This window comes from Homo sapiens, chromosome 15 (genome assembly GCF_000001405.40).
Source record: "Homo sapiens chromosome 15, GRCh38.p14 Primary Assembly".
Taxonomy (NCBI): Eukaryota; Metazoa; Chordata; class Mammalia; order Primates; family Hominidae; genus Homo; species Homo sapiens.
Genome location: NC_000015.10, coordinates 89,504,708 through 89,526,320, shown reverse-complemented (window position 1 = coordinate 89,526,320; position 21,613 = coordinate 89,504,708). Strand labels below are relative to the sequence as shown.

General features: G+C 41.0%; 1 long non-coding RNA gene across 4 annotated transcripts; it reads left to right on the top strand.

Annotated features, from left to right (window-relative positions):
• The first annotated feature begins 2,286 nt into the window (after positions 1–2,286).
• Positions 2,287–21,391, top strand: LINC00928 (long intergenic non-protein coding RNA 928). 4 transcript variants are annotated; one of them, NR_027075.1, is made up of 4 exons: positions 2,287–2,740; positions 8,884–8,919; positions 16,198–16,248; positions 20,463–21,391. It is a non-coding gene; the product is annotated as a long intergenic non-protein coding RNA 928 (long non-coding RNA). The 4 variants fall into 4 exon arrangements; NR_027076.1 differs by lacking the exon at positions 8,884–8,919 and having other exon boundaries at positions 20,714–21,391; NR_027077.1 differs by lacking the exon at positions 8,884–8,919 and having other exon boundaries at positions 20,543–21,391.
• Positions 21,392–21,613: the final 222 nt, after the last annotated feature.

Below are 21,613 nucleotides of genomic sequence, written 5' to 3'. Positions count from 1 at the left end.
AGTAGACGGAGCTTTTACAAATGAAACGCCTGAACCTTACCGTAGCCAATCAAATTGGAATTTCTGGGAGTAGAGCTGGGTACGAGTGTTTTTGGAAACACCCCGGATGAGTGTGATGTTCCACGAAGGTCAAGAACCACCATTTAAGAGCAGTGGTTCTCAAACTTTGGCGTGCCTCTGAACCCCCTGAAGAGTTTGGTAAATACAGGACGCCAGACCCCACCTGCAGAGTCTCCCACCCAGCAGGTCTGAATGGGGCCTATATTCATTTCCTGTGGCTGCTGTAACAAATCACCACAAACTCGGTGGCTTAACCAACAGAAATCTATTCTCTTACAATTCTGGAGGTATGAAATTAAAAATGAGTCTCACTGGGCTACCATCAAGGTGTTGGCTGTGTTCCTTCTAGAGGCTCAGGGAGAATCTGTTTCCTTGCTTGCCCCCTCTTCTAGAGGCCACCTGCACTTAAAAGCTTTTTCCCACTTTGGTGTCTTGATTCTTTTTTTTTTTTTTTTGAGACAGAGTCTTACTCTGTCACCTAGGCTGGAGTGTAGTGGTGCAATCTCAGCTCACTATAACCTCTGCCTCCCAGGTTCAAGCAATTCCCGTGCCTCAGCCTCCCGAATAGCTGGGGCCACAGGTGCCTGCCACCACGCCTTAGCTAATTTTTGTGTTTTTAGTAGAGATGGGGTTTCGCCATATTGACCAGGCTGGTCTCGAACTCCTGACCTCAAGTGATCTGCCCACCTTGGCCTCCCAAAGTGCTAGGATTACAGGCCTGAGCCACTGCACCTGGCCTTGGTGTCGATTCTTTATGCTCTTGAGATCCTTGGAATGTATATGTTCTTCCATACCTCCCTTCTGTTTCCTTCACTGAAATTCAAAGTGATTGATATAACAGTACTCCCTGTAGCTTCTTTTCATTTTAACCAAGCCTAAATCAAAGTGTTTTTTTAAAAAATTATAACTCCTATTTTCTTATAAGGATACACAAAACGAAGCAAGATTATATAAGTCAAAGGAAGTAAAAATGAATACGGTACAACAAGGCTAACGACATAAAATTGAACCAGTAATGAAGCTACTGTAAAAAGACAGACCATGGAGTTGTGCACTTTTGCTGCAAGTGGGTACATATTTGGTGTAAAGTTTCCTGGCAGCCAAGACCAAAAGGGAAAACTAGTTAGTTACATAGTTCATAACTGTCCATGTGGTAGAAAATTAATCTACTGCTTAGGAATATGCAGCTGAAAGACCAGAAAGACCCTGTGGAAAGTGGGAAGCCACACCCTCAAGAACATCTTTCCAATAGATTCAAAGACGAGTTTTATGAAATGTTTCTTCTGGCAAAACACAGGAGAGTAAAGCTGATTCTGTAGGGAATGTTGTGCGTCCACCCAGGGATTCATTCTTCTCTTGTTCTGGCTTAAACCTGGGTTAATTTTAGAGTGTCTGGATCATCTGGTTGACCTTAAAGGAGAGTTAGATTCCCAGAAGAAAGAAGGTCGGCCAGTTAGGAAGCATTCTGTTGCTTGATAATTGCAAGCAACAGGAAGTCCAGCCCTATTGGCTGAAACAAATATATTTCTGGACTCGTGTGATTTGGAAGCTCAGTGGTAGTTTTAGCATCAGACAAGACTTTACTCAGAGCTTAAATGCTCTCACCCTCCAAGTATGGGAGTATCCTGGACCTCCCCAAAATGCAACTAAAATGTTAAAGCCCAGCATAGCAGTGGGCCTGTGTAAGTCCTTCCTTCCTATAGTGACTTGTCAGATTAGGTCTGATTAGTCAGATTTTGGAAACTATTCCTATATTTCTTCTTTATATTGACTGGAGAAGAGAAGGTGTTTTCCCCACCATTCTCAGTGAAAGTCCCGAGTTTCAATCTGATTGGATTAGATTAGGTCACACACTCATCCCTTAACTGATCACTGTAGACTGGAAAGCACTAATTAACCTAGGCTGGATTACATACCCTAACTTTGACCTCACTAGACCCAGGATGAGCAACTTGTCTGGGAACAGGGAGCAGAAACAGTGGAGCAGAAACTCTTGGGTTTTAGAATCAGACAGATCCAGGTTAGTTCATTTATTCATCAATTCAAAACACTGGGTGTAACATACCAAATAAAACATATCTAGTCCCACCCCTAACATAGATATTAAACCAGTGTATCAGTTATCTATTGCCATGTAACAAACCACTCCAAAACTTAGTGACCTAAACAATGACCATTTTATGTGCTCACCGTTGTGCAGGTCAGCAGTTTGGGCTGGGCTCAGGTGGGTGATTCTTTTGGACTAATTCATGTGGCTGCAATTGGAGCTGGATGATCTAAATGGTCTCACTCCTAGGTCTGGCTGTTGATGTTGGCTGTTGGCTGAGCCAGGGGCCGCCAGCAGGCTAGCATGGGCTCTTCACTCAGCAGCAGGGTTCCCCAAGAGGACAAGCCCAACACACATGTGCTTTTCAAGCCTGTGATTATCAGGCTTGAAATACTGCAACATCTGCTGCAATCAGTAACAACCACATAAGAAAGCAATGACAAGTTATGATTACTGCTCTGGAGGGAGTGAGCAGGATGCTGTGAGAGAGGGTTACTATTCCAAGTGGCACCTGGGCCAGCAGCATTGGCATCACCTGGGACTTGTGAGAAATCCAGCATCTCAGGCTCCACTGCAGGTCTCCTAAATCAGAATCTACAGTTTAACAAGATCCCCAGCAGATGTGTGTGTAAGGTAACGTTTCAGAAGCTGGTGACTATTGGGGACAGAGGAGTGAAGGAGGGGGAAGAAACAGCACAGCTAGTTTATGCCACTTGGTGTGCTTCTCACATCCTTATAGTTTCTGCCGTGACCTGGCTACCAAGCCAGCAGGGGCCTTCTTCCACTGTCCTGGGGCTCCATAGGAGAGCCCCACATTCACAGTCTCACAGTGAGGACAGCTTTGGTTCAGTGGGTATCACCCAGAGGCAAGCACCTAAAACTGGAGTTCCACTGGGCTTGGCAGGGAGCTTGCCCCTGATACGTGGGAACAAATGGGGCCTCTGTTTATGCATACACAGTGCCAGGTGGGGACAGAGGCCAGTGTTGGAGCAGCCAGTTCTGAGCTCCCTAAAGACCCCTAGGAAAGCCAGACCCTCAGGGCTGCTTGGTCCATCAGCCCCTCACCTGGCATGGAGGATGACAGTGAGTTGTCAGGTCCACAACCATAAGGCTGTGAAGAGGCTTTCCTGGTGGGCAAGTGGGTGGCATTCTAGAATGCCATGCTAGAATGACTGTGTGTCCCATTTGCACAGGGCAGTCCTGTTGACACCTGCCATCCTGTTGTAATTATTAATAATGCCCTTATTCTGGTTTGGATCATAAATTGAAAGGGTCACCCTACTTAAAGCCTGAGTTTAATCTCAGAATTCAGGAAGGTGCCTCTGAAAGAGCACTGGACCCTGAATCAGGAATAGGAACTCTTGTCTTGCCCTGCTTCTGGCAAGCTGGGGGACCTCAGGCATGTCCCTTTTTCCTTCTGGCTTCAGTTGCCTTATATGTCAGAATCGAGGGGTTGGATCAGACAATCCCTGCTAGCTGGGGAGTAAATGAATGTGAAACAGTATCCTTAGGGGTTCTGCTCCATCAGCTCCATGTTGATGAGGACATTGTTCTCTCTCTAGTATCTTTGATTCTATGTCCTCTGGGGACCCCACATTCTGCTAGTTCCTCTCCTGGTCCGCAGCTTGCAGGAACCCTGAACTGGTGTCTCTGAGGCTCTGCCTCGGGGCTCTGTGCCAGTGGGGCCACACTGCCTGTCTGCCTGCCTACTCACCCATACTCTGCTGCACTGGGACCCTTCTTTAGCCTGTACTTCCTAGTTGTGTGACATTTGGGACAAATAACTTAATCACCTGTGACTGTTTCTCCATCTGCCATGGGAGATAGCAATGTCATTCTTGCAGGATCATGGATAGTGCACACAGCGTCCGGCCCATAATAGGGACTCACCAAGGCACTTCTATGCCTCATATGTCTTCAAATTGACCACCTGGAGGGCTCAGCTCAAGTCTTCAATGAGTTGAGAGCTAAAGGAAGTGATTTGCAAGTGTGAAGACTCTAGAAGTTTCCTCTCTGTAACACTCTGCAACGCTCTGAACATTTCCTTTTTTAAAAAAAATTATTTACTTGTTCATTTATTTAGAGACAGGCTCTTTCTCTGTCACCCAGGGCAGAGTGCAGTGGTGTGATCACATCTTACTGCAGCCTCCAACTCCTAGGCTCAAGCTATCCTCATGCCTCAGCTTCCCAAGTAGGTGGGACTGCAGGCAAGGGCCACCATGCTCAGTTAATTTAAAAAAATATTTTGTAGAGACAGAATCTCACTATATTGCCCAGGCTGATCTCAAACTCCTGGCTTCAAGTGATCTTCCTGCCTTGGCCTCCCAAAGTGCTGGGAGTACAGGCATGAGTCACCATACCTGGTTGTAAGTGGAAGTTTCTATGAAAGTTCTCACTCCTCAGCTCTGCCTCACAGACTACATGCTCCACCTGCCATTTGACTAATTGCAGGGAGGAAGGAGGGAAGCAAAATGGACACTTTATCCTTTAAAAGGATCACATAGCTCCTGAGGGCTTTATCCTAGCAACAATATGTTGTGAAATCAAACTTTCTTGCCTGACTCTTGCTTCTGCGGTCTTACTTTGGGACATTTAGCTCCAGCAGAAAGAGCACCACCTCTGCAATCTGACAGCCTTGTCCCCTCTGAACTCTACCTTTCTCTTTTTGACAAAGAAACATTGTCCCCAACTCACAGAATCATGGGGGTTATGCTAGGTGGGATTGTAAAGTATCTGTCCTGTGGTAGGACTCAATAAACTTAGAGCTTTTCCTGCCTTTTGCCCTATTGTCTTTCTGATTGCTGAGAATATATACTTTTCTGTGGGGCAAGATAAGAAAGCAAGAGTTTCAATGTTCTAGTTTCTACTGCTGCATAACAAATGATCCCCAAACATACCTGCTTGAAGCAATAGGTTTTTTGCTCATGATTTTGTGGGCCAGAAATTTGGGAGGCTTCTCTGGGCAGGTCTTGCTGAGGATTTCTCAAGTAGTTATGGTCAGATACTAGATGGTGCTGTCATCATCTGAAGGCTCAAATGGGCTGGGTGTCCAAGATGACTCACTCACCACTGGCAGAAGATGCTGACAGTTGGCAGAGGACTCCATTTGAGACTGTCAACCAGACCACCTACATGTGCCTCTTTGGCATGAGAGTCTTGGCTAGTTGGATTTGTTACATGGAGGCTGGTCACGAACTTCTGACCTCGAGTGATTCCCCCCACCTCAGCCTCCCAAAGTGCTGGGATTACAGGCGTGAGCCACCGTGCTGGGCCCAGAAATTTTTCGTCCTGCGAAACTGACACACTGTACCCATCAAACAGGAACTTCCCATTCTCCCCTTCCCCCGCCCCTGGCAACCACCGTTCAACTTTCTTTCTATGAATTTGATTACTCTAGATACCTCATGTAAGTGGAATCATACAGTATTGCCCTTTTGTGACTGGCTTATTTCACTGAGTATTATGTCTTCAAGGTTCATTCATGTTGTATCATATGTCAGAATTCCCTTTTTAAGACTGAATAATATTCCATTACATGTAGACACCACATTTTGTGGGTTTTTTTGTATTTTTATTACATATATATATATATATTATGGAAATAGTGTCTGGCTATGTTGCCCAGTCTGGTCTTGAACGCCTGGACTCAAGTAATCCTCCCACCTCAGCCTCCCAAAGTGCTGGAATTACAGATGTGAGCCACCACACCCACCACATTTTATGTATTCACTCATTCATAGATGGACATCTGGGTTGCTTCCACCTTTTGGCTATTGTGAATAACGCTGCTATAAACATGGATGTACAAATATCTCTTCAAGACCCTTCTTTTAATTATTTTGGCTATAGACCCAAAAGTAGAATTGTTGGGTTATACGGTAATTCTATTTTTAATTTTTTGAGGAGCTATATTATTGAGTTTTGAGAGTTCTTTCATATTTTAAATAGAAGTCACTTATCAGATACGTAAGTTGAAAATATTTTCTTCCAGACCATTATTTATCTTTTAATTCTCTTAGCAGAGTCTTTAAAAAATCAGAACTTCTTAATTTTGTTGAAGTACAATTTATCCCCCAAAATTTATGGATTATGCCTTTGGTGTCGTGTCTAAGAAATCTTTTCTTTGAGAAGTCCTATTGTTTTCGATTTTACATTTAGGCCTATGATCCACATTAAGTTAAATGTTGTAAGTAATGTGAGGTATAGATTGAGGTTTGTTTTGTTTAGTTTTTTCATATGGATGTCCATTTGTTCTAGCGCCATTTGTTGAAAAGTTTATTCTTGGCTGGGCGCAGTGGCCCATACCTGTAATCCCAGCACTTTGGGAGGCTGAGGCAGGCAGATTGCTTGAGCCCAGGAGTTTGAGACCAGGCTAAGTAACATGGTGAAATCCCATCTCTACAAAAAATACCAAAAAATTTAGCTGGGCCTGGTGGTGCACACCTGTAGTCCCAGCTACTTGGAAGGCTGAGGTGGGAGGATCACTTGAGCCCCAGAGGTTAAGGCTGCAGTGAGCTGTGATCAGACCACTGCACTGCAGCCTGGACATTGGAGAGAGAGAGACCCTGTCTCAAAAAAATGAAAATAAAAGTTTATTATTTCCTCACTGAAATGCCTTTGCAGCTTTGTCAAAATTCAATTGACCATATATGTGTGAGTCTGTTTCTGGACTCTATTTTGTTCTATTTATATATACCAGGAGTGTCCAATCTTCTGGCTTCCCTGGGCCACATGGGAAGAAGAGGTGTCTTGGGCCACACATAAAATACACTAACACTAACGATAGCTGATGAGCTTCTTGAAATTGCAAAAAAAACTCATAATGTTTTAAGAAAGTTTATGAATTCGTGTTGGGCCACATTCAAAGCCATCCTGGCTGCATGCAGCCCATGGGCTGCAGGTTGGACGGGCTTGATGTATACTATTCTCTCACCAGTACCAACTATCTTGATTATTATAGCTTTGGAGTAAGTCATGAAATTAGTAGAAATTCCCTAACTTCGTAGTTCTTGATTGAAATTATTCTGACTATTCTAGTTCCTTTTTTTTTTTTTTTTTTTTTGAGATGGAGTTTCGCTCTTGTTGCCCAGGCTGAAGCGCAGTGGTGCAATCTTGGCTCACTGCAGCCTCCACCTCCTGGGTTCAAGCAATTCTCTTGCTTCAGCCTCCTGAGTAGCTGAGATTACAGGTGCCCGCCACCACACCTGGCTAAATTTTTGTATTTTTAGTAGAGATGGGGTTTTGCCATGTTGGCCAGGCTGGGCTTGAACTCCTGGCTTCAGGTGATCCACCCACCTTGGCCTCCCAAAGTACTGGGATTGCAGGTGTGAGCCACCATGCCCAGCCCCATTGCCTTTTCATACAAACTTTAAAATCAGTTTGCCAACTTTTTTTTGTTGTTGTTGTTTGTTTTTTGAGACAGAATCTCTCTCTGTCACCCAGGCTGGAGTGCAACGGCGTGATCTCGGCTCACTGCAACCTCTGCCTGCCGGGTTCAAGCGATTTTCCTGCCTCAGCCTCCCGAGTAGCTGGTATTACAAGCACACGACACCATGCCCGGCTAATTTTTGTATTCATTTTTAGTAGAGACAGGGTTTCACCATGTTGGCCAGGATGGTCTCGATCTCCTGACCTTGTGATCCACCCGCCTCGACCTCCCAAAGTACTGGGATTACAGGTGTGAGCCACCACGCCTGGCAGCTTGTCTACTTTTACAAAAAAAAAAAAAATTCTGCTGGAATTTTTATTAGAATTGCATTGAATCTAAATCAGTGTGGGAAGAATTTATATCTTAGCAATATTGAATTTTCCAATCCGTGAACATGGTATGCCTCTTCTTTTTTTTAAGGTTTTCTTTGTTTTTGTTTTGTTTTGTTTTGTTTTTGTTTTGTTTTATTTTGTTTTGAGATGGAGTTTTGCTCCTGTTGCCCAGGCTGGAGTGCAGTGGCGCAGTCTCGGTTCACTGCAACCTCTGCCTCCCCAGTTCAAGCAATTCTCCTGCCTCAGCCTCCCAAGTAGCTGGGATTACAGGTACCAGCCACCACGGTCCTGGCTAATTTTTTGTATTTTTAGTAAAGACGGGGTTTCACCATGTTGGCCAGGCTGGTCTTGAACTCCTGACTTCAGGTGATCCACCCGCCTCGGACTTCCAAAGTGCTGGGATTACAGGTGTGAGCCACTGCACCTGGCCTCTTTGATTTTTTTTATTAGTTTATAGTTTTCAGCAGACAGACCTTGCACATATTTTGTCAGATTTATACCTAAGTATTTCATGTTTTCTGGTACTATTGTAAATAAAGCTTCAATTTTTTTTTCAAATTCCAATTGTTTATTACTAATATATAGAAATTTATTTGATTTTTTTATGTTGACCCTTCCCTTTGATTGTTAATCTTCATTATAGATTAACTTCCCTCTTACGTTTCTCACATAAAGACTTTATGGCTATCACATTGCCTTAAGATGGAATGTTAAATATACTCTTTTAAATTGAGTGAGGAAATGAAAATCAGCTGTAAAGAAAGGAAAACAAACTGTAGAGAAAAGAAAACAGACTATCACTAATTAATTTGTTGTAACTCTTATACCACTCTTGTATAGAAAATGCTGTAATCCCATTAAATTTCTTTGTTTTCTACCTGTATTAGCAAGAACTTAACTCTTAACTTTGGAGCACGGATCCCATTTCTCTGGAGTCTTTGTCTCCTGGATGATCATTTTCACCTTTTCACCTGAATAAACTTTAAACTGGATTCTGATCCTTTTAATTCTTTCAGGTTTATAGAGAGAAGATTCAAGCCTCAACAGGCCAGGTCAGTTGGACAAGGTGACTTTTAAGCCCTCTTCTAGCTTCATGAAAACAGATCTGAAACTTGCCTGATCTCAGAAATGGTAGTAAAAACACCATGTACCTGAATGGTCTGGTGGCAGGTATGTCCTGTGCACTTAGTATTCTCTAAGTTCTGGGAGGGGCAGGTTATCTGCCAGTAAGAGGCAGGAGATTCCAGCATCCTGGTGTGCTTAACAGTATCATCTCATTCACCAGACAGGCAGCCCTTGTGCCTCTCCACTAAGGCTAACTGCCAGGAGGATAAGGTGTGGGTGGGTTTTATTCACTGCTCCATCCTCAGAGGCTAGCAAAATGCCTGGAAGAGGGAGAAATCTCTAGTGTTTATAGACAGACCAACACTCGTACCCTGAAAGGACACAATACCACAGGGGATTGGTAGAGGTAATGATTACAGGCAACAGATTGTTCAAAACAACTATATTTAGACAAGTATATTTTTGCAAAACAGCGAAAGCTCAGTGTTCCTTTCAAAATGAAAACTTTCCTTTTCCATACCTCACTATCAATTATTTCAGTCTCAGATATGCCCCGTTCTGTTTCTCCCACAATATTTGACTTAATTAACAATACAGTCGATTATTTACAAGGAAGTTATTTCTAAAACTGTAGTTCAAAATCACATCTGATTTTTTCACCTGACTTTTGTGGTATAGTTGTTTTTGTTTTTAATGATGTTGCCGGGGTTCACTTTTCCCAAAAGTAGTTTTTAAGAGTAAAAAACTGGGGGGAAATCATAAATGGCCAAAGAGGTTAAATAAATTATGTTACCTTCATTAAGTAAAATATTTGCAGCCACTATAATGATGTGAAATTTTATTTACTGGTAAGAAAAGTTCGTAAGGCATTACTGAGTGGGGAAAAAATCAGTTTATAAAACACTATGTATAATGTGATTCCACCTTTTGTTTTTAAAAAATATTTTATATATTTAAATATATTAATATGCAAATATAAGAATACCTAAATATAAGTATATAAACATTCTAGAACAATATACAACAAAATGTTGACAATGGTTATCTCTAGGATTTCAAATCATTTTTGTATTCTTCATATTTGTTATAACAGGGTTCCTTTCTTTATTTTTTATTTTTATTTTATTTTTTTTTGAGATGGAGTCTGTCTCTGTCACCCAGGCTGGAGTGCAGTGTTGCAATCTCGGCTTACTGCAACCTCTGCCTCCCGGGTTCAAGTGATTCTCCGGCCTCAGCCTCCTGAGTAGCTGGGATTACAGGTGCCTGCCACCACGCCCAGCTAATTTTTGTATATTTAGTAGAGACGAGGTCTCACCATGTTGACCAGGTTGGTCTTGAACTCCTGACCTCAGGTGATCTGCCCTCCTCAGCCTCCTAAAGTGCTGGGATGATATGCATGAGCCACCATGCCCAGCCAACAGGGTTTCTTCATAATCAGGAAAGGCTACTGTCATCTTATGAAAAACATTTCAATAAAAGTACATTTCCCTCTAAGAACACAGCTCTGGAATTATAACGTGAGCAAGTAGAAATGAACAAGAACTAGATCTAATACAGGTTTCATAAAGTCTTCTATTACCCAGCTCTCTTGTGGCCCCCAGAGCTGTCCGTCTTCACTTGCCAAACTGTGCCCACAGCAAGCCCCCTTAACTCCAAGTCCTGGTACTCAGCACCACCAGCCTGGGCCTGAGTACCTCTCCCTGAGCTGGGCCTGCATGGAGCAAAAAATGTGTAGGCAGCCAGAGTCCTAGCTGCCCGGGAGGCTGAGATAGTGTTGCTGCTGATAAAGCCACTGTCCATCCAGCAGGGGTGAGACTCTTTAGACAATCTGTACAATCTCTGGGCACAAGAGTTTTCCTTTCTCTGTCTTCCCTCTCTTCCTCGTCCCTTTCTCTTTTCTTTCCTTGCTTCAACTTTCCTTCCCTTGCTTCCACTTCCCTTCCTTCATTTTCTCCATCTCCCAAGCACCTGGAGGTCACAAGGGACTCAATGACGAATCACCCACAGTCCCCCTTAAGGGACCTGCAACTAGAGAGGGAAGCAGGTGAGTCCTAGAGTCCACCTCTGTGTGCTCCGTGCCCTGAGGGAGGGCCTCCTGGAGGAAGTGACATCTGCCTTAAATCCTGAAGGATGAGAATGAGTTGGTCAGGAAAGACAGTGGATAAGAGCCCAATCCTCATGGGCAAGTTGGTTGCTGCTTCAGGTTCCTGACTGGCCCTCCTGTTCCACAGGACCAGTCCTGCCCAGGAAATGGCTTGAAGCCATTCGTTGGCTGGGGTGAGCTCCCTGGCCATCTCACACTACTGCCTCCCTGGCAGCCCAGCCCACCTGGCCCTATGATGGCAGCAGGGCCTGGCTGATGCTCACCCCATAAATGCAGCTGAGTCAGGGTATGTTTCCACACTCAGGACTTCCTGGAGGGACTTGCACAACTGCTCCTGCCAGGTCATGCCCAGGTTTTCTAGTTCTCACCATCAGCTTGGCAATTCTTCCTTATTTTGAATCCAGATCCTTCCTGCTGCATTCAATCCAGTGTCTTTTGCTTTATCCCCAAGGTTTTAAAAAATGAAGAAAAACTGGTCTCCTTGTTCTGTAGGAGAACAGCTGTTCATCTAGAAAGCCGTCCCTCCTTCATTGTTAAGCCCTTGGGCTTTAAGCAAAGATGTGAGGTGTGCTTTAAGCAAGAAAGTATTTGGGATCTTTCTCATTACTCTCGCTTCGACCATGGACCACCCTGGGCACTCAGATCCATTTGCCATTTGGGGGCTATAATTGAATTAAAGACCAATTCAGAGATTATTAGCTCATATGGAACACTGATTGTCTCTGTGAATAAATCCACTACCCTCTCCAATTTTCTCCTAGTAACTAGTAACAGTTTTAAAAAGTATCCCATAACTAGTAACAGTTTTAAAAAGTATCCCTTATGAAGATAGACGTTGGAGAGGTCAGTTTCGGGATGAGTCAACCTTGAAGTTAGACATGGGAGCTGGAGTCCAGGATAGGAGTATTGCAGCAAGGGTGAGGAGGCTCACTAAGATCATTCAAAGGAGAACAAATAAACATCCATTGTTGTGTAATTTTAAAATGTTTTAATACATTCTACTCACGGGGTGTGGTGGCTCACGCCTGTAATCCCAGCGCTTTGGGAGGCCGAGGTGGGCAGATTACTTGAGGCCAGGAGTTCGAGACCAGCCTGGCCAACATGGCAAAACCCCATCTCTACTAAAAATACAAAAATTAGCCGGGTGTGGTGGCGCATGCCTGTAATCCCAGCCACTCATCCACTCATGAGGCTGAGGCAGGAGAATCTCTTGAACCCGGGAGGCAGAGGTTGGAGTGAGCCGAGATTGTACCACTGCACTCCAGCCTGGGCGATAGAGTGAGACTCCGTCTCAAAAAAACAGAAACAAAAACAAAACAAGAAAACATACATTCTATTCAACAAAGGAGAGGGAAAGATGGTTTGGAGGGAAGTGCTGGATACAGTCAGAAGGAAGCATCCATTGGGGAAGTTGGTTTGGAAGAGTTGGAATAAGGTCGGAGGCGGGAGTCTTGCCAGGATGGAACAGAATCCAGAACTGCTGCCTGGGCAGCTCCCACCAGAGCCAGTAGGGACAGAGGGACCCTGAGGTTGGGGGACACGAAGGACTTTGGGGTCAGCGTGTCTACGCAGGCCTTTATCTCCTTCCTGTATTCTGTCATCGTGGATGGTAGCCTTCAATGGAGAGGCCACATGGGCAAGCCCTATCCTCCTACTCCACTCTATGTTCATCTGTCAAAGCCCTTTGAGTGCATCCTCAGTGCTCTGTAGGTCCAATGCTCTACCCACTTTAAGTTCCTGTAGGGAGTTGGAGAAATAAGTTGTGACATGCACACCCATGTGACTCTTGCCCTCTCCCTGCACCTTTAACTTCTGATTCATCCCATGCATGCAGCTTCACCTGCACATGCCCAGGGCGTGTTCTGGTGTCTTCCCTCATGCCGAAATCAATTCAGTCCAGAGAGGAGGTGACTGGGAGCCACCATGGGGCATATCACTGGTCTTTAACTGGCTGTTGGGTCCAGAGGCAGGACAATCAGAGACCCCTCTCAGGGCCTTTGCTCTGTCCTTAGAGGTAGAAGGCAGCCTGTGCCCCAACTCCCTCACCCCCTACAAACCACACTCCAGGCAAGGGTGGCCAGCAGTAGTCTGTGGGTCGTCTCTTCCTTGTGAGCACATCCTGCCACAGCACTGCTTCACAGGAGAGAGCCATGTGGACAAGCCCCATCCTTCTATTCTACTCTGTACTCATCCAGCAATTGCTGCAGAGCCACCCCATGGTGGCTCTGCAAGTGGCTAAGGATACAGGGCTTAATAAGACACCATCTTTTGTAGCCAGCCTCCAAGATGTATCCTTGGGATCCTTGCTTCTGGCATTCACACACTTCTCGGCCCCCTCTCACGTTGAATCAGGGCTGGCCTTGATCACTGGATTACAGTAGAAGTCTCAGCAGATGATTTCCAAGGTGAAGGCTTGTAGTTTCCACCTTGCTCTCCTGAATGGCTCGTTCCAGGGTAAGCCAGCCACCAGACCATGAGGACACTCGAGCAGCTCCATAAACAGGACCCCAGGGAAAGATACTGAGCCCCTGGACAATAGCTAGCATTCATTTTCCAGCCATGTGAGTGACCTACCCTAGAAGTAGACCCCCAGCCCCAATCAAGCCCTTAGATGACACATGACTGCAACTACATGAGAGATCTCAAACAAGAGCTGCCCAGCCCTGACACTTCCAAATCCACAAAAATTATGACCGTTTTTTTTAAAAAAGATTATTGCTGTTTAAAGCCACTGCATTTTGAAGTGATTTGTTATGCATTAATAGATAATAAAAAGCAAACTGACTTAGCCATTTTTATTACTGTCCTAAATTCTCTGCAACAACATCCCTCCTTATGTCCTGCACACTGGGTAAACTACAGCACCTGCCATGTCCTGGATAGATGTATGGGAGTGGAATTGCTGGGAATTAGGATAGGGGTATGTTGGCTTTTACCAGTTTATTTTCCCACCAGTAATGTATGAGAGCTTTATCTCCTCCACCTCCTCAACAACTCTTGGCATTGTCCGTCTTTACCATTTTAAGCCATTCTGATGAGAGTATCATAGAATCTCATTGAGATTTTATTTTGCATTTCCCTGACAACTAATGGTGTTGAGTGCCTTTTCAGGTGCTTACTGGCCCTTTAGGCACCCTCTTTTGTAAAATGCTTATTCAAGTCTTTTGCCCCCAATGTTTGTTGGTTTGGTTGCCTTTTTCTTATTGATTTGTAGGAAACCTTTATATATTCAGGATATGAGTCCTTTGTCAGATATATGCATTGGGAAAATCTCTTGTCCTCTTCTTAATCTTTTGATTAAAAGAGCGTTTTGTTTTAATGAAGTCTAACTTAAAATTTTTAAAAATTTATAGTAAGTGCCTTTTATGTCCAGCTTAAAAGATCTTTGCTTGGTCATGGAGACCGCCCCCCACCCTACTCTGTTTGCTTCTAGGAGCTTTATTGGTTTACTTTTCACATTGAAGTCTATGATTTATCTTGAATTAATGTGTATGGTGTGAAGAAGGGGTCAGAGTTCCTTTTTTCCCCTATGAATATGCATAGAAAAGAACATCCTTCTCTCTATAGAATTGCATCAGCTCCTTTGTTGTAAGTCAAGTGACCATATATGCGTGGATCCATCACAGACAGTTTTAAAAGGTATAGATTTCCAGATCCTCAACTTCTCTATGTCTTCTTTTCTGATGTGGATCTATTTGCCTCTGCAGTCAAACCTCAAGCCAGTCTTCTTTTCCCATCTCATTCACCTTTCCAAATAAGGCCTCTAACCCAAGCCCAGTCTGACCATGGTGCCTGAACTAGACATGTGCAAACCGCTGGGAACCCAAACAAAGCGGCGATTGGAGAATGCACACCCCTGAGAGAAAGACCTCTTCAAAGCACAGAGAGCATCTGCTGTAGATATTGAGGGGAACAGCACCTTGTTCCATTTGAGGGACAAATTCTAGGTGGCAAGACTCTGTGCATTGTCTATTTTGCTTAGAATTAGAATTTAGAATTGAAATGTTATGGGCAGGCTTTGTCTTGAGGCTGTGTATTAACACATTTATTTGAGTTTGAAAATGATTTCAGATTTTCTTTTGATGGTTAATAAGTCTAATTGGGCTGACTGGGTTGGCAATGAATTCTGGCTTTGCCAATTAGCTTATATGGCAGACATTTTCCATAAATTAAACAAACGAAATATGCAACTCTGAGGTTCTGGAGAAAATATACACAACATGAGGGAAATTATGGTTTTTTGCAGCTGTTAAAATTATGATATGAAATTTAGATGTCAACTTAAAATTGTGTAACAGAGTATACAGTTTTCCAAAATTTATTTAGGGGATGTACAACAGGAAATGTTGAAGACCACTAGTCTAAGGCAGTGGTTCTCAACTCCGGTTGCAATTGGAATCACTTAGAAAGTTTAAAAGGTGATGATGCCTGTGCTTCTCCCCAGGCCAATTAAATCAGAAAAGCCAAGAGGGAATAGTTTAAAAGCTCCCCAGGTGATTCAAAGTGCAGCCAAGCCTCAAACCACTTGCTCTGTCCTCCACCCTGCCCTGTTTCTCTGTACTCACGGCCATCTCAGCCCCTCTCCCTTCCTCACCCCCAATGCTCAAGGCTGTCTCTCCAACCCCCAGACCCATATCTAGCCCCAAGCCTAGACGTTACCTCTTGGACATTCCCAGGCCTTTCAAACATAGCATGTCCCAAACCAGTCTTGGCAACATTTTTGATCACGCATTAGTAAAAACTGTGGGGAGTGTATATCCCAAAATATGCATATTAAAAAAAGCATACATATGAATCACTATGTTAATATGTTATGTGCATTATTAAGTGGTTATAAAACAGAAAATATAAAAGTATGAGGCCAAAAATTAGTATAAATATAGGTTTTAATATTTTCTCTCTACATTCTATGGACAACCTCCATGCCTTTGCACATGCTGATCCCTCCTCCTGGAATTCCTTTCCTACTTGTCCTCATGTACAATTTTCTGCTCGTCCTTCAAGGGGCAGCTTGCAAGCCTCCCTTTAGACACCTCTACAGGTACAGCCGACCATGCCCTACCTCCATGGCACTGCCAGGGGACCCTTATAGGCCTCTGTCTTTAAACCTGTAATGGTATATTAATCCTTGGTGTTTGAATGTCTCTCTCTCCCCTGCCAGCTCAAGAACCTGTTGAGAGGAGCACCTAGCATAAGACCTGGCTTGTGACAGGTTTGTAATAAGTACATTGATGATGCAGTGAGTTGAATAGTGGAGTGAGCGAAGAGGAGGTGGTCAAAATATCTAACAACCCATATAGTGGCTAGGTGGGGGATGGTGGTGGGAAGTTCAAGGGCATGGCACCAGCATCTGCTTGACCATCTGGTGAAGGCTTTCATGACAGAAGGGGAGAGGGCAAAGAAGTACATGCAGAAGAGACCGCAAGGGCAAGCTAAGCTCACCTTTATGATGAGCTGCTCTTGTGAGAACTAATGCACTTCCTAGAACTAACTCAATCCTGTGTTAATGGCATTAATCCATTCGTGAGGGCTCTACCCTCATGACCCAATCACCTTTTAAGGCCCCACCTCCCAGTTCCATCAGTGGCAACTAAATTTCAGCATAAGTTTTTATGGAGACACTCAAAACATACTATATACATATAGTACGCCTCTGCAGTCAAACCTCAAGCCAGTCTTCTTTTCCCATCTCATTTACCTTTCCAAATAAGGCCTTTAACCCAATCCCAGTCTGACCATGGTGCATGAACTAGACATGTGAGATTTCATTTTGCATAAATATATATATGTATATATATATATATATATAGTATATATACTGTGTTTCAGGTGTCCCCATAAAAATTAACATTTTTATATATCATATTATATATAACATATATAACATTTATATATCATATTATATATAACATATATAACATTTATATATCATATTATATATAACATAACATTTATATATATCATATTATATATAACATATAACATTTATATATCATATTATATATAACATATAACATTTATATATCATATTATATATAACATATAACATTTATATATCATATTATATATAACATAACATTTATATATCATATCATATATAACATATAACATTTATATATCATATTATATATAACATATAACATTTATATATCATATTATATATAACATATAACATTTATATATCATATTATATATAACATATAACATTTATATATCATATTATATATAACATATAACATTTATATATCATATTATATATAACACATAACATTTATATATCATATTATATATAACATAACATTTATATATCATATTATATATAATACATAACATTTATATATATCATATTATATGTAATATATAACATATATATCTCATATTATATATAATATATATAACATTTATATATCGCATATTATATATATTATATATAACATTTATATATCTCATATTATATATAATATATATAACATTTATATATCTCATATTATATAATATATATAACATTTATATATCATATATAATATTTATATATCATTATATATATTCATATATCATATTATATATAATATTCATACATCATATTATATATAATATTTATACATCATATTATATATAATATTTATATATCATATTATATAATATTTATATATCATATTATATATAATATTTATATATCATATTATATATAATATTTATATATCATATTATATATAATATTTATATATCATATTATATATAATATATAACATTTATATATCATATTATGTATAATATATAACATTTATATATCATATTATGTATATATAATATTATATATTATATATAACATTTGTATATCATATTATGTATATATTATATATTATATATAACATTTATATATCATATTATATATTATATATAACATTTATATATTATATTATATATTATATATAACATTTATATATTATATTATATATTATATATAACATTTATATATTATATTATATATAATATATTATATATAACATTTATATATTATATTATATATAATATATATAACATTTATATATTATATTATATATAATATATATTATATATAACATTTATATATTATATTATATATAATATATATTATATATAACATTTATATATTATATTATATATAATATATATTATATATAACATTTATATATTATATTATATATAATATTATATATTATATATAACATTTATATATTATATTATATATAATATTATATATTATATATAACATTTATATATTATATTATATATAATATTATATATTATATATAACATTTATATATTATATTATATATAATATTATATATTATATATAACATTTATATATTATATTATATATAATATTATATATTATATTAACATTTATATATTATATTATATATAATATTATATATTATATATAACATTTATATATTATATATAATATTATATATTATACATAACATTTATATATTATATATGTAATATTTATATATCATATTCTATATAATATTTATATATCATATTCTATATAATATTTATATATCATATTATATATAATATATAACATTGATATATATCATATCATATATATTATATATACCATTGACATATATCATATCATATATATTATATATAACATTTATCTATATACATAAACATTTGACCCTTGAACAACACAGGGATTAGGGGCACCAACTTCCCAGGCAATCAAAAATTTACATATAACTTTTGATCCCCAAAAACTTAACTACTAATAGGCTACTGCAGATCAGAAGCCTTCAATAACATGAACAGTCAATTAACACATATTTCATGTGTAATATGTATGATATATTGTATTCTTACAATAAAGTAAGCAAGAGAAAAGAAAATGTTAAGAAAATCATAAGAAAGAGGAAATATATTTAGTGTTCATTAGGTGGAAGTGGATCATCATAAAGGTCTTCATTCTCATCTTCATATTGAGTAGACGGAGAAGGAGGAAGAGGAGGGGTTGGTCTTGCTGTCTCAGAAATGGCAGAGGAGAAAGATGTGGGGGAGGTGGAAGGGAAGGCAGGAGAAGCAGGCACACTCAGTGCATTTTTGTTGTTGTTGTTTTGTTTTGTTTTTTTGAGACAGAGTCTCGTTCTATCAACCAGGCTGGAGTGCAATGGCGTGATCTTGGCTCACTGCAACCTCCACCTCCTGGGTTCAAGCAATTCTCCTACCTCAGCCTCCTGAGTAGCTGGGATTACAGGCACCCACCACCGCACCCGAATTATTTTTGTATTTTTAGTAGAAACAGGGTTTCACCATGTTGGCCAGGTTGGTTTCAATCTCCTGACCTCGTGATCCACCTGCCTTGGCTTCCCAAAGTGTTGGGATTACAGGCGTGAGCCACTGCACCTGGCCAGTGCACTTTTTATTGAGAAAAATTTGTGTATAAGTGAATCCATGCAGCTCAAACCTATGTTGTTAAAGGGTCAACTGTGTGTGTGTGTGTGTGTGTGTGTGTGTGTGTAGAGAGAGAGAGAGAAGCAGAGAGAGAGTTTTTATAAGGAATTGGCTCACATGATTATGGAGGCTGCCAAGTCCCAAGATCTGCAGTCAGCAAGCTGGAGACCCAGGAGAGCTGATGGTGGAGTTCTAGTCTGAATGTCAGCAGGCTAGAGACCAAGGAAGAGCCAATGTTTTAGTTCAAGTCTGAAAGCAGGAAAAGCACTGGTACCACAAGCTGGAAGGCAGTTGACAGAAGGAGTTCCCTTCTCCTTCGGAGTGAGGGTCAACCTCTTCATTCCATTCAGACCCTCAACTGATTAGATGAGGCCCACCCATATTTGAGGGCAATCTGCTTTACTCAAATGATGATCTCATCCACAAACACCCTCATAGACGCACCCAGAAAGAATAGTGTTTGACCAAATGTCTGGGCACCCCATGCCCAGTCAAGTTGACCTGTAAAATTAACCATCACAGCAGCCAAGGCAGAAATGGAAGTGAGACAGTGGTGGTGGAGGAGCTGCAGCCAGCACCTGAGGCCCTGCCCTGCGGGAGGTCCTACAGAGATAATGCAGAGCTTACCAGGCCCTGTCCACCTGCCCACCCTCAGGGGCAGAGATACAGTCCTCCAGCCAGGAGCAAGGCTGTGCCAAGAGATTACCTCCAGCTTAAGGCAGAGTGTAGATGCCATACCCCAGTGGTTCTCAACTGGGGCAGTTTTATCTCCCAGGAGACATCTGGTAATATGTGAATACCTTTTTTGTTGTCACAACGAGGGGATGGTCATACTCCTGACCACTCACATCCAGTGGGTAGAGGCCAGGGGTGCTGCTAACGCACAGGACAGTCCCCAAAACAGAGATTGATCAGGCCCCAAATGTCATTGGTGCTGAAGTTGAGGAACCCTGCCCTCACCTTCTTTCCTCCACATCTTCCCTCAAGCTGCTCGTGGCATGCCCTTCTCCACTAAGCCAACTTGTTAAACCTCTTCACGGCTGAGATCATGCTGCTTTCTTCTTCAGATCTGCCACCCTCTAGCTGGGTGACTTTTAGACAAGTGATCGACCTCTCTGAGCCAGAGTTTCTACCTTGTAAAAAAAAAAAAATCCCTTCCTGCATGGTCAGCTGTCATGAAAAGGACACATGGTGATGGGCAGACAAAGACAAGGCTTAGCTTCGTGTTTGACTCCTAGGAGCGCCCAGTTCATGGAGGCTGCTGCTGTCACTAATCTGTTTCCATCTTCCCCTGGGAATCCTGAGGTTTATCTGTGAGCCTTTGGACTGCTGTATGGACAACATACTCTGCAGTAGCATGAAGAAGTGAGTGAAGACCCTCCCTTGAACCGTTTGCCCTGAAAGAACAGAAGTCACATCTTGATATCTCAGTGCCTTTACAGTGCCAGGGATGGGGTAGGTGCTGAGCGCCTGGTATGTGCTCACCCTATGCTGTACAACACACAGAAAGCCCCACAGGGTTTGAACTGTAATTAGGTAGAGGGTGTGTGGGACTCGCCTTGGGTCTCTGACTTTGGCTTCTGCTCCCGGCCTTGGATAGGCTGATATTTTCTAGTAGATATCAGAGACTCCGGTTGATAGCACCACAATGGCTTTTCTCCCAACTTTTTGTTTTACGTATTATCAAGCCAACAGAGAAGTTGCAAGAATAGCACAATGAACATGCATATACCCTTCACCTGGATTCACCACTTTTGTTTCATTTCTCTCAGTATATATGTTTGTGTGTGTTGGAGACATATGACATTTTACCTCGAAACCAGGCATCTCCTAGGAAAAAGAGCAGCCTCCCATATAACAACAATACAATGATAACCCTTAAAAAACTTTGCATTAATAAATCCCATTAGTTAATATACCATTCTTAGTTCCTTTTCCTCAGTTGTTCCAATAGCGTTTTTTTTTAAGATTTTGTCTTGATCCAGGAGCCAATCAAGAATCAATCAAAGCATTTTATGGATTTGTCACGTCTCTTTAGCCTACAATCTTTGCCCTCCTTGTTTTTTGTTTGTTTGTTTGTTTTTGACATCCATCACACCTACATTTCTTTTTAAGACTCCAGACCAGTTGTTTTGCAG